The following is a 15,209-nucleotide window of genomic DNA, read 5'->3' as shown; positions in this document are numbered from 1 at the left end:
TACTACAGCCAGTGCTACATGTTCAGAATTTAGAGCTCCTATTTTAGAAATAATATTTTTCACTTGCTTGTATTGTTTTTTTAAGTTTTGATATTAAACCGTCTTCAGTGGGCCCTATAATTGACCCGTGGAGAAGTTTAATATAAATATTTGTATTTATAGCAAATGAACTAATGACGGCGTGGCTGAGAAATAGGCATTATTTTAACATCTTCATTTATACACTGTGTGTGTTTACATGCATACATATGTATACATATGCATATATATGTTTGACCTCCATTTTCTACATAAGCATCTTTTGTTCTTTCTTATAGAGCAAATACCACTTTTATGCTATTATCTTGTACACAGACTAGAAAAATATCAGATACCTATGGGATACATAATCAGCTGTATATAATCAGTTAGATTCATTGAGGATAATTTTTTAACATCTATCTGTTAATGTTCTGCCCCACAAGTAATAGGACTCAGAAATTTTTGTGAATACGTTGACTGGATTTTTCTGCCAGGTCTGATATTTTAGCACACAAATCAGTCTTAGAAGTAAGAAAAAATATACCATTGTTAACATTAACTAGCAGTATGTGACCTTGGAAAAATCATTTGAATTCTTTGAGCTTTCTTTTTTCCATGTTTATGAAATGTTAGCTTTGGAAAAGTTGAAGGTAATATTTTGAAAAATAAGCATTAACTATGATTTAGACCAATTATGAAACAAATTAATGGAAGAAAAAGGTTAACTGGGGTTTCTGACTTTTTATTTAGATTCAGAATAGAATTTTATTCTGGGTAGAATTTCCTTCTATGAAGAAAATGACTAAATGAGAGATATTTCTTTCCGCCACCCAAGCTGCCCTGAAAAGGATGGACTAACAGAGGATGTTACAAACAAAAATGGGTTGTAATCCAGGAGAAGCCATGCTGGAGTGGTGAGTTTGTTGATGCATGATATCTTGAAACATAAGTGGTGGGTACCAGAGGGAACTGTGGACAAATAGTGGTTATCAGTGATGTCCAGCTTGGTGTGTCAGTGATAGAAAGATGCTCCACAAGGCATATGAAACAGTTTCTAAGATGAGGCCATGTTCTGTAATGTAGACAGGTTGACACATCACGAATATCAGGAAAGTTACTCAGTAGGCATTAGGGATGAACATGTGGCAATATTCTAGACCGTGGTGGCAGAAATGTATCAGACAGAATTGCAGACTTGGAGCTGGTACAACCTAGGCAGATTATGAAGGTTGCAACTGAGGAAGGGAAAAATAAAATCCTCTTCACAATTCTGGGAACTTCTTTGTGACACAGATTAGTCCATGAATGTTATCTTTGGATCCCTGGCTCCTACTCCAGTGCCTGACACACAATAAATGCCTAACAAACACTTGTCATTAAAATAAACATCAAGTTATGGATTAAGATGAGTGGTGTGAATTTTATCTTGGTAAATAAGAGTTGTAGAGGTAGGCCAGTTTTTGTATTTTCATTTTTTTGTTTGATTTACAAAAGCATTCAAATGAAAAAAATGTGTATTTTAATATAAAAATAAGTATGAATATTATTTATTAGATAGGAAAATAATAAAACTTTAAATACTTTGTTTATGACTTGTATTACCTAAGAGGAAGTTTTATATTGCATTTATAGCAATTTGTGAGCTTGTTGCAATTAAGTGCTGGTTTTGATGCTTGGCACAATGTAACTACATAATAAATGTTGATAAAATAAAATGCAATTTATAATATGCTTTTTTGTAAACATCAATTTAATTTATAAGTATGTGAAATAATTATATTAATGGAATCATTGTGGAAGAGATGGGACACATATTAACAATGTCTGAAAAAAATACACTATTACATTAATTATAGGGTTAATAACATACTTTGAAAATCATTTTGTATTTTGTTCATTTCATCAATTTTAGGCAAAGCTTAGATGTTTATGGTTTCTTTTAAGAAAGTACGCAACTTTTTATAGTGTAATTTTTGTAAGTGGTACTCATAAGTTTTGGTCAAACATAACAGACTTTAAGTAAAATTATATCCTAAAAAAATGGGGTATAAAACAAATTTTTATGTTAAATTTGGCCTCTGAATATAATAATATTTATAGATAACATGAAACAATACACTAAGAATGGAAAATTTAAGGATAAAAGTACTTTCTAATAGAATATAGATAATAATGGCACAAAGTTCAAATATTCTATTGACATTAGAATACTATAGATGAAGTTTGTACTCCTTTGGGACTGAGTCCTTGGAAGAAAGATATGTAATCTATGTATAGCCTGATTCTATTTTGTGTCTCTTTTATTCACAGCACTTGAAACTTTTTGCCCTTTCTTCTAATTGGGTTTGTTTATCCGGTATGATATATTTTCATGGTTTACTTAGTAGCTCTTATGTAGCCTGGTAGAGGTTTTTGATTTGTTTGTTTAGCATACTTTTGGGAAGAGAAGAGCAGCTATATTCCAACACAGAACACAGGTACCATTAAAAGGATAGTTACTACAATATATTTTTTTCTTAAAATAAGGGTTTTCTTTTAGTAATTTTGCTTTTTAAAAAGCATAACTATAAACTAGAAGGATAAGGACATTTTTGTCTACAGGTTTCTATTTTTAATGTTGTCTAATATGAATTATGCATACTAGGCACACGGATTAGAAATTTTGCTCTTCTGCCTATTCTGATATTTGCAGCATGGTTACATTAATCCCTTTAGTGCATAGATACCAAAATCAACTGGCTAATTAATATTTCTGATTACTTCATGCAATATAACAAAGCAATATACTAGGCATGGGAGAAGTAGTACAAGACAATACTCTCTGAATTAAAGATATTGATAAAACCCAAAGACGTTTGCATGGGTCTATTTGGCTGTGGTTAACTCATTTTCATGTTATTTCTTTTTCACATATCCTTTTCATTTCCATTTTCTCCTTAAGTATAATTTTCTAATCTGTAAAAGTTTGAGTTTAATATAGAGTTCTAGTTTCTAGCTAGAACATTCTGCAATTCCATATATCTGAGATTTCAATGCTTTTTCTCTTCACTGACTTAAATTTTTAAATCATTATTATTATTATTTTACTGAGGGCTTTGCCATTCTCTATTATTTATGCTACCCCAGGTTGTTTCTTCCCCAAGAAAGCAGAGGTGATATTGACCCCTTCAAGGTAACCAGGCTCAATCTTGTTCAACTTGTCACTCAACAAACACATACCAAATAACTACTGATTTAAAGCTTTGTACTCTATCCAGGATAGGGTATGAAGGAGCGAGAGTTTATACTGCCATTCCAGTCCTGTGAATTCCATCCTTTTAAAGATGAGAATCCCTTTACTTTAAGTTTATGTGAGTCCTTATGTGTTAGGTGAGGCTCCTGAAGGCAGCAGATAGTTGGTTGGTGAGTTTTTACCCATTCTGCAGTTTTAAGTGGAGCATTTAGGCTATTTATATTCAATATTAGTGTTGAGATGTGAGGTACCATTGCATTCATCATGCTATTTGTTGCATGTGTACCTTGTTTTGTTTTTGCTTTTTACCTTGTATTTTTGTTTCATAGGTCCTGTGTAATTTATACTTTAAAGTGGTTCTGTTTTTATGTGTTTCCAGGATTTATTTCAAAATTTAGAGCTCCTTTTAGCAGTTCTTGTAGTGGTGGCTTGGTAGGAAAAAGGCATTTCATGCAAATGGACACCAAAGGTAGCTATTCTTATATCAGACAAAACAAACTTTAAAGCAACAACTGTTAAAAGAGACAAAGAGGGACATTATATAATGGTAAAAGGCCTTGTCTAACAGGAAAATGTCACAGACCTAAACGTATATGCACCTAACACTGGAGCTCCCAAATTTATAAAACAATTACTAACAGACCTAAGAAATGAGATAGACAGCAACACAATAATAATGGGGGACTTCAGTACTCCGTTGAAAGCACTAGACAGGTAATCAAGACAGAAAGTCAACAAAGAAACAATGGATTTAAACTATACCTTGGAACAAATGGACTTAACTGATATATACAGAACATTTCATCCACCAACCCCAGAAAACATATTCTATTCAACAGTGCCTGGAACTTTCTCCAAGACGGACCATATGATAGGCCACAAAATGAGCCTCAATACATTTAAGAAAATTGAAATTATATCAACCACTCTCTCAGACCACAGTGGAAGAAAACTGGAAATCAACTCCAAAAGGAACCTTCAAAACCATGCAAATACATGGAAATTAAATAACCTGCTCCTCTATGAGCATTGGGTCAAAAACAAAATCAAGATGGAAATTAAAAAATTCTTCGAACTGAACAACAATAATGACACAACCTATCAGAACTTCGGGGATACAGCAAAGGCGGTACTGAGGAGAAAGTTCATAGCCCTAAATGCCTACATCAGAAAGACTGAAAGAGAAAAAAACTGACATTCTAAGGTCACAACTCAAGGAACTAGTGAAACAAGAATAAACCAAACCCAAATTCAAACCCAGCAGAAGAAAAGAAATAAACAAGATGAGAGCAGAACTAAACGAAATTAAAACAAAAAAAAAAATGCAAAAGATAAGTGAAACAAAAAGCTGTTTCTTTGAAAAGATAAATAAAATTGATAGACCACTGGCAAGATTAACCAAGAAAAGAAGAGAGAAAATCCAAATAACCTCATTAAGAAACAAAGCAGAAGATATTACAACTGACACCACTGAAATACAAAAGATCATTCGAGGCTACTATGAACACCTTTATGCACATAAACTAGAAAAACTAGAAGAGATGGATAGATTCCTGAAAAAATACAAACCTCCTAGCTTAAATTAGGAAGAATTAGATACCCTGAACAGACCAATAACAAGCAATGAGATTGAAATGGTAAATCAAAAATTACCAGCAAAAAAAAAAAAAGTCCAGGACCAGAAGGTGGCACAGCAGAATTCTACCAGACATTCAAAGAACAATTGGTACCAATCCTTTTGACATTATTCCACAGGATAGAGAAAGAAGGAACCCTCTCTAATTCATTCTATGAAGCCAGGATCTCCCTATTACCAAAATCAGGAAAGTTTTGATATTAACCAAAAAAAAAAAAAAATACAGACAGAAATCCTTGATGAACATAGATGCCAAAATCCTTAACAAAATACTAGCTAATTGAATACAACAACATATTGAAAAGATAATTGACCATGATCAAGTGGGTTTTATACCAAGGATGCAGGGATGATTTAACATTTGCAAGTCAATAAATATGATACATTACATAAACAGAATTAAAAGCAAAAACCACATGATCATCTTAATAGATGCAGGAAAAACATTAGACAAAAATCCAGGATCCCTTTATGATTAAAACTCTCAGCAAAATAGGCGTACAAAAGACATACCTCAATGTAATAAAAGCCATCTATGACAAACCCACAGCCAACATAATACTGAATGGGGAAAAGTTGAAAGCATTCCCTCTGAGAACTAGAACAAGACAAGGATGCCCACTCTCACCACTCCTCTTCAGCAGAGTACTGGAAGTCCTAGCCAGAGCAATCAGACAAGAGAAAGAAATAATGGCATTCAAATTGGTAAAGCGGAAGTCAAACTGTCACTGTTTGCTGACGATATGGTCATTTACCTTGAAAACCCTAAAGACTCCTCCAGTAAGCTCCTAGAACTAATAAAAGAATTCAGCAAAGTTTCTGGATACAAGATTAATGTACACAAATCAGTAGCTCTTCTATACACCAACGGCGACCAAGTGGGGAAGCAAATGAAGAACTCAACCACTTTTACAATACCTGCAAAAAAATTAAAATAATTCGGAATATACCTAACCAAGGAGGCTAAAGACCTTTACAAAGAAAACTACAAAACACTGCTGAAAGAAATCGTAGATGACACAAACAAATGGAAACACATCCCATGCCCATGGGTGGATAGAATCAATACTGTGAAAATGACCATACTGCCAAAAGCAATCTACAAATTCAATGCAATTCCAATCAAAATACCAGCATCATTATTTACAGAATTAGAAAAAAACAATTCTAAAATTCATATGGAACCAAAAAAGAGCCCGCATAGCCAAAGCAAGACTAAGCAAAAATAACAAATCTGGAGGCATCACACTACCTGATTTCAAACTATACTATAAGGCCATAGTCACCAAAACAGCATGGTACTTGTACAAAAATAGGCACATAGACCAGTGGAAATGAATAGAGAACCCAGAAATAAACCCAAATACTTACAGTCAACTGATTTTTGACAAAGTAAACAAAAACATAAAGTGGGGAAATGACACCCTTTTCAACAAATGATGCTGGGATAATTGGCTAGCCACATGTAGGAGAATGAAACTAGATCCTCATCTCTCACCTTACACAAAAATATACTCAAGATTGATTAAGGGTTTAAATCTAAGACCTGAAACTATAAAAATTCTGGAAAAGAACATTGGAAAAACCCTTCTAGAAACTGGCTTAGGCAAGGATTTCATGACCAAGAACCCAAAAGCAAACACAATAAAAACAAAGATAAATAGTTGGGACCTAATTATACTAAAGAGCTTTTGGACGGCCAAAGGAACTGTCAGTAGAGTAAATAGACAACCCAATCTATATGCCTGACAAAGGACTAATATCCAGAATCTGCAACAAACTCAAATCAGTAAGAAAAAAAAACCACACACAATCCCATCAAAAAGTGGACTAAGGACATGGATAGACAGTTCTCAAAAGAAGATATAAAAATGGCCAAAAACATATGAAAAAATGTTCAACATCACTAATGATCAGGAAAATGCAAATCAAAACTACAATGCGATACCACCTTACTCCTACAAGAATGGCCATAATCAAAAAATCAAAAACGGTAGATGTTGGTGTGGATGTGGTGATCAGGGAACACTTCCACGCTGCTGATGGGAATGTAAACTAGTCCAGCCACTGTGGAAAACAGCGTGGAAATTCCTTAAAAAGCTAAAAGTGGAACTACTATTTGATCCAGCAATCCCACTACTGGGTATCTATCCAGAGGAAAAGAAGTCATACGAAAATGATACTTGTGCACAAATGTTTACAGCTGCACAATTTGCAATTGCAAAATTGTGGAACCAACCCAAATGCCCATCAATCAAGGAGAGGATAAAGAAACTGTGGTATACATATATATGATGGAATACTATTCAGCTGTAAAAAGGAATGAATTAATGGCATTTGCAGTGACCTGGATAAGATTGGAGACTACTATTCTAAGTGAAGTAATACAGGAATGGAAAAGCAAACATCATATGTTCTCACTGATATGTGGGAGCTAAGCTGTGAGGATGCAAAGGCATAAGAATGATACAATGGACTTTGGGGACTTGGGGGAAAGGGTGGGAGGGAGGCAAGGGATAAAAGACCACAAATAGGGTGCAGTGTATACTGCTCGAGTGATGGATGCATCAAAATCTCACAAATCATCACTAAAGAACTTACTCATGTAACCAAATACCACCTGTACCCCAATAACTTAGGGAAAAATAAAAAATAAAAATAAAAATAAATAAATAAAAATGAGAATCCTTCTTTTTCCCCTTTAAAAGCAACCCAGTGTTAGTTGAGTACATGACACATGCCAGATACATGCATTATCTCCATGCTAAGTGCTTAATATGCATTTTTTTCCTGCTGTTTTTGACCTATAGCCCCTTCCTCATCCCTGCCCATGATATGTCCTCTTCTTATAAAATTCTGATAAAATACATATAAAATTTGCCATTTTAGCCATTTCAGTGTACTACATTCAGTGGAATTACATTCTCATTGTTGTAAAAACATCACCACTCTCTACCAATATTTTTCATTAACTCAAACAGAAACTCTGTACTCACTAACCAGTTACTCCTCATTCTTTCCTCCACGAAGTTCCTGTGAAGCTCTAATTTGCTTCTGTCTCTGTACATTTGCCTATTTTATACAGTTCAGATAAGCGGAACCATATATTTCTCCCTCTGTATTTGGCTTATTTCATTTAGCATAAGGTTTTTAAGGTTTTCCTTGTTTGTAGCACATATCAGAACTTTATTTCTTTTTATGTCTGAATAATTTTTCATTGCATGCATCCACCACATTATGTTGATTTATTCATCTGATGATGGAAAGTTGGTTTGTTTCCACTCTCTTCTAAGTTTGTCAAGATTCTAGCTTTTGTAATCATAGATCTGACTGGTGTCTTGATTTCTTATCTATTTCTAGTGTTAAATGCTAAAATTAAAACATGCTCCCTCCATGTTTCCTTTGTCTTTATTCAATTCAGAATTAGTTTTTAAATGCCCCTTTCATTCCTTAGTTTGTTTTCTCTTTCCACTAATGACTATCTTAGCATATGTGTGACTAATTTTTTCAGAAGGTGTAATTTCCTTGTGCCAGTGTGTTTACATAGGAGCCTAAATTATTACATAATAAGGACATATCAAAACCACAATTAATGTTCATTTGAGTTAAATTTCTCCTAGTGACACTGTAGTGAAAATGAGTCTGTTTTTTTTTCATTTCATTGATGTTTCATGATTTCACCCTAAAATAATAAAGGGAAATTTAAGACATTTATTTTGTTTAGTGAAACACTGGCATCAACCCTCAAACAATTATTTAATCTCATTGCTAATTTAATTTTATTATAGATATATTTTTAAATTTTTATAAGATTATTTATTGGATCTTAATACAATATACAGTTGACTCTTGAACAATTGGGGGCTAGAAGCCCCAGTCCTTGTGCAGTTGAAAATTCATGTATAATTTTTGACCTTTGAAAAATTCAACTATTAATAGCCCACTGTTGACCAGAAGCCTTACCAATAACATAAATAGTCAATTAACATGTATTTTGTATATTATATGCATTATTTGCTGTATTATTACAATAAAGTAAGGTAGAGAAAAGAAAATGTTATTAAGAAAATCATAAAAAAGAGAAAATATATATTTACTGGTTCATTAAATGGGAGTAGATTATCCCAGAGGTCCTTCAAGAAGGCTCAGGAGGCAGAGGAAGAGGAGAGGTTGGTCTTTCTGTCTTGGGGCGGCAGAAGCAGAAGAGGTGGAAGGTGAGGCTGGAGACATTTATTGGAAATTATCCGTATATAAGTGGACCCATGCAGTTCAAGCCCATGTTGTTCAAGGTCAACTGTATTTACAAAAGTCAAATTGAAGCAGAAACTACTAAAGGCTGTGCCCATGTAGAAAATTCTTCCATAGTTGTTGAACTTCATATAAACACTTTCTACCTAACTAATTTTTTTTTTTACTGGTCAGATATTAGTAAATAGGAATTAGAAAATAAGTAATCTATGTACTTTATTCTTAGGATAAAAAATAGTTTGGACCAGGTACATCAATGAATTAAATTTAACAAGAATGTTTGTGGCAATTATGATGGAGTGTAAATGTCTCTAGAATGCCACATGCTAGCTATTTTTTCATTCCCTTTAATTTACACACGAAGGCTTAAAGAGCTGTGGGCAAACTGCTTCAAAGAAAAGAATATCACTGCTGAAACAAAGCTAAAGCAAAACTATTTGAAAACTAAAGAGTATTTTAAAGACACAATAATGGAAGAATGCAGAGCTTTTATGTAACAAAATATAAGCCTTCACGAAAAGGATTTTATCTTCTTTATTGTTCATATCAAGCACACCCCATTCATTTTTTATTCAGTCCTCAATTTTTTAAGGCTGCATGGATGAGTTGGTCATGTGAGGGTTTGGATGGAAAAAAATTAAAAACAATTTTATGTTAACATAAACAGACTGAATTTAGTTTAACACTTCTCGTATTTCCATTTATTTTAGTTAATGACATGCATGGAAACGCATACAAATGGTATCTTTAACAATCTTTGGATGAATAAAATAAGGAAAAAAGGAGAGTTTATGCTACTATAAATTATAGTTGGAAATCTGATGATTGAGATTTTCCATATGTGGTAGGGAAGCCAGCACAAAGAGTTCATCCTTCAGTTCATCGTTTTGATTGTCTTCACAATCAATACCGATTTCTGTGGTTTCATTGATTTGGCCACAGTCCACATTGAGTCTCAGCTTGGAAAGACCCAACACTTAATCTCTGTCTCTAGCTGACTGCCTTGAACCAAGGAGATGCTCCCTAATTGTTGTGAGAGAAAAAAGTGAAAAAAGGCCTTAATACCCAGTATTTCCCAGAAGAAAATATGGTAAAATAGCACTTTACAGCCCAATGCCATTTGGACTAAGTATTCTTTTTACTTCTTTAGAAAAAATGCAATAAAGCACAAAACAATATAACAATACTTCAGCACTCCTCTGTCTCACATTCTGTGGATGCTCAGCAAGTATCAGACTAAAACTAGAAACATTATGTGTTTATAGGTTTAATTCAACTTTTTAATGTGCTGTTTATGATAAAATGTGTAGCGCAGGAGTTATTAATTGGGGCTCGTTGACCCCAGGAATACATGGGGGAATGGGAGTTTTTTGGTGTCTGTGAAAATTCTAACACTATACACACATTTTTGAGTGCATTTTCCTCAGGTGATATTAGTTCATAATGAACAAACAGGTCCTATTTGTTTGGAACTGTTCTAAGAGTTTTTACTCATTTGATCATCATGGCAAACTAGAATGTAAATATTCACAGTATCCTTGTATTACAGTGAAAAAAAAAAAGAGATGTATTATACAAATATTGTATGTAACTTGCCTAGGGCATCACAACCACTAAGGGGTCAAGCCAGCATTTTTTTCTTTTTGTTTTTTTGAGACGGAGTCTCGCTCTGTCACCCAGGCTGGAATGCAATGGCGCGATCTCGGCTTGCTGCAACCTCCGCGTCCCAGATTCAAGTGATTCTCCTGCTTCAGCCTCCCGAGTGGCTGGGATTACAGGCGCCTGCCACCATGCCTAATTTATTTATTTTTTTTTTAAGTAGAGATGGGGTTTCACCATGTTGGCCAGGCTGGTCTCGAATGCCTGACCTCGTGATCCACCCACATCGGCCTCCCAAAGTGCTGGGATTACAGGGGTGAGCCTCCATGCCCGGCCTTGTACTCTTAAACAGCACAAACACTGTGCTGTCTTTAGATAGGAAATAGGTTTTAGAACTTTTTTTCTCAAATTTTAGAGGAGTTTGTGACCAAAAGACAATAAATATCTACTGGAGTCAACTAGCCCACAGAAATGTAGTTTTCGCTAGATATGCTATTGCTTAAAGCGATACATCTTCCACATCTCAGAAAAATCCGATGAAGTCACCTGTGGTCACGTTATCAAGCAAAAGAGGCTTGCTGCCCCGTGCGCTAGAAGCCAATACTATGACGCTGGGTTTTTTAGAAAAGAAAACATTTTACTGCAAATTGACTCACAGGGAGACAGTAGTCCACCTCAAATCTGTCTCCCTGTGCTGGCCTTAAGGGAGTCATTTTATTAGAAAACATTTAGGAAATGGATTCTGGGATTAGTAGGTGATTGGTGGAAGGAAAGACAAGAGCTGGAAAGTCTTTGGGAATGTGCAGTTATCCATTCATGCTACCTCACGGGTCCCACGTGCAACTTCGGGGCGTTATCATGAAAAGTATGGTGGAAATGTGAAGTCCGCAAGCTCATTCTGTGCAAACTCCAATTAGCCATATTGGTTCCAATGGGTTTCAGCCAGTTTTATCATCTTACAAACCTGGGAAAAGGGAGTTTCAGCATTTCAGCAAGTTGTTTTCCTGCCTTCCTGCAAGCTCAAGAATTTCTGTTAGTCATGTTTCCTTAACTGTTAGGGGCATAGTTTCAGTCACTTGGATGTTAGGTGTTTTTCAGGTTTGCTTTTTCATATAATCTGGCCATGCAGGGTGTCATATTGCATACAGCATACAAGAAAATGGATAAAACATAAGAATCAAGATTCTGGCAAAGCAAGTAAATGAATTGATCAAAATCGAGGAGAAAGTTAAAATTTAAGTAGAGACTGTAGTGTTATGTAAAACGCAGTTATTTAAGTCGAGCTTCGGGTTCCTGGTGGCCAAAGCAAAATGTGAAACAACATTATTTACATGATTTGCACTATTTGAAAACCTATCACTCCATAAAGAGAACAATAAATTGTTTAGTTCAAAGTCAGTAGTACATCTCTTTCTATGATTATATGGTGAACGCTTTTTAAAGTAGCATATCTTTAGTAAATGTAATGGCAGTCTTATGGACTTAATTGCATTCTCCCCCAGTTCCAAATTCATATGTTGAAGTCCTAACCCCCAGTAACTCAGAATATGACTGTATTTAGAGATAGGGTCTTTAAAGTGGTAATTCAGGTAAATGAGGACATATGGGTGAGCCCTAATTCAATAGGACTGCTGTCCTTATAAAAAGAGGAGGTTAGGACACAGACCTCTGTGTGTGTGTGTGTGTGTGTGTGTGTGTGTGTGTGTGTGTGTGTGTGTGTATGTGTGTATACAAAGGAGAAACCTTATGAAAACACAAGAAGGTGATGAATTGCAGGCCAAGGACAGACGCCTCTGGAGAAAGCAAGGATATTGACACCTCGACTGTGGACTTCTAGCCTCCAGAACTATCATGAAATAAATTTCTATTGTTTAGGCCACCCAGTCTGTGGTATTTTGTTATGTTAGCCCTAGCGAACTCATATAAACAGCTTCCTTATGATACTTTACCATCATTTATGCTATGGCATCCTGATTTTACAATATCCATCATGATAGCTGAGGAAGCAGGGCAAGCTGATTGAGGACACCTCACTGCAATTCTGAGGACCCCAAAACAGTGTAATTCAAACGTAGCACCTTCTCTCTCTGGGCAGCTTTATTCAGAGATGAGATATAGGCTCTTCAGAAGTATGAATGGAGTGTGTGTGTGTGTGTGTTTGGGCTGTTCATAAAAACCTTTGGGGCAAAAGGCACATAAACTTCATGGTAAAGCATGAAATAAACTATTGTTTCTGTGTTGCTAATTAAGGATTAAAAACAGACTATTGGGCAAAAGACTTGATGACCTCTGATGATAGAGAAAAGGCCCTACCAAGAGTTGGGTCCTTCTAGTTCTTGGTCATCCTGGTTCCACACCAAGAGAAATCTTGTTCAGGAGCAAGAATTTTACTAGAGAGAATTATGGCTTAAATATGACAAGTGAAAAAAATGAATGGCATGATGTTAAAGCTGCACGTCATAGGATTGTACAGAGTATTTTCAAAGTGTACGTAGACAGAATCCCACTATAACCAAAGAAAATCTCACTAACATAGGCATATAAATGCAAATTTACCAAACAATTAAACTTAGTGGTAATTAGCTGTATAAAATGATTCACTATGAAAGTCTCATCGTAACTTATGAAAAATATAAAGAATTCAATTTTTTGTACCTTTTTTGTAACATATGTCACCAGGATTATAATTATTTGTTGAATTGGTTGTGTTCTCACTACTCAGTCACATCTCTGAGATCATGAACTCACTTAATTTCTTACTGTTTTTTTTATCAGTGAGGCTTAAGTGTGTGTTGAATGATAAAGTGAACAAAACAAATGAATAAGTAAAAAATGAACACAAAAACATTTGAATTTGTATAGCAATTGGATTATCAAACTTTGCAAACATTATGCCCTCTTTAAAATTTTTTTTATATTTCAGGTTCTGGGATACATGTGCAGAACATTCAGGTTTGTTACATAGGTATACATGTGCCATGGTGGTTTGCTGCACCCTTCAACCTGTAATCTACATTAGGTATTTCTTCTAATGCTATACTTCCCCTAGTCCCCCACTCTGAGAGGCCCCGGTGTGTGACATTCCCCTCCTTGTGTCCATGTGTTCTCATTGTTCTACTCCCACTTATGAGTGAGAACATGTGGTGTTTGGTTTTCTGTTCTTGTGTTAGTTTGCTGAGAATGATGGTTTCCAGCTTCATCCATGTCCCTGCAAAGGACATGAACTCATCCTTTTTTATGGCTGCATAGTATTCTATGATGTATATGTGCCACATTTTCTTTATCCAGTCTATCATTGATGAGTGTTTGGGTTGGTTCCAAGTCTTTGCTATTGTGAACAGTGCTGAAATAAACATAAGTGTGCATGTATCTTTGTAGTAGAATGATTTATAATCCTTTGGTTATATACTCAGTAATGGGATTGCTGGGTCAAGTGGTATTTCTGGTTCCAGATCCTTGAGGAGTTGCCACACTGTGTTCCACAATGGTTGAACTAATTCACACTCCCACCAACAGTGTAAAAGTGTTCCTATTTCTCCACATCCTCTCCAGCACCTGTTGTTTCCTGACTTTTTAATGATCGCCATTCTTTTGTTTTTGTTGTTTTTGAGACAGAGTCTCGTTCTGTCACCCAGGCTGTGCAGTGTCACAATCTCGGCTCACTGCAAGCTCAGCCGCCCGGGATCATGCCATTCTCCTGCCTCAGCCTCCCAACTAGCTGAGACTACAGGCACCCACCACCTTGGCTGGCTGATTTTTTTGCATTTTTAGTAGAGATGGGATTGCTCTGGCCAGAACTTTCAATGCTATGTTGAACAGGAGTGGAGAGAGAGGGCATTCTTTTCTTATGCCCATTTTCAAAGGGAATGCTTCCAGTTTTTGCCCATTCAGTATGATATTGGCTGTGGGTTTGTTATAAATAGCCCTTAATATTTTGAGAGACTTAGTTTATTGAGAGTTTTTAGCATGAACTGCTGTTGAATTTTGTTGAAGGCCTTTTCTGCATCTATTGAGATAATCATGTCATTTTGTCATTGGTTCTGTTTATATAATGGATAACATTTATTGCTTTGTGTATGTTTAACCATCCTTGCATCCCAGGGATGAAGCTGACTTGATTGTGGTGGATAAGCTTTTTAATTTGCTGCTGGATTTGGTTTGCCAGTATTTTATTGAGGATTTTTGCATCGATCTTCATCAGGGATATTGGCTTGAAATTTTCTTTTTTTGTTATGTCTCTGCCAGGTTTTGGTATCCAGATTATCCTGGCCACATAAAATGACTTAGGGAGGAGTCCCTCTTTTTCTATTGTTTTGAATAGTTTCAGAAGGAATGGTACCAGCTCCTCTTTGTACCTCTGGTAGAATTTGGCTATGAATCCGTCTGGTCCTGGACTTTTTTTGGTTGATAGGCTATTAATTACTGCCTCAATTTCAGAACTTGTTATTGGTCTATTCAGGGATTGGGCTTCTT

The sequence above is a fragment of the Homo sapiens genome, chromosome 6, assembly GCF_000001405.40.
Source record: "Homo sapiens chromosome 6, GRCh38.p14 Primary Assembly".
Taxonomy (NCBI): domain Eukaryota; kingdom Metazoa; phylum Chordata; class Mammalia; order Primates; family Hominidae; genus Homo; species Homo sapiens.
The sequence above is the reverse complement of the archived record's forward strand: the minus strand, read 5'-3'. Positions refer to the sequence as shown.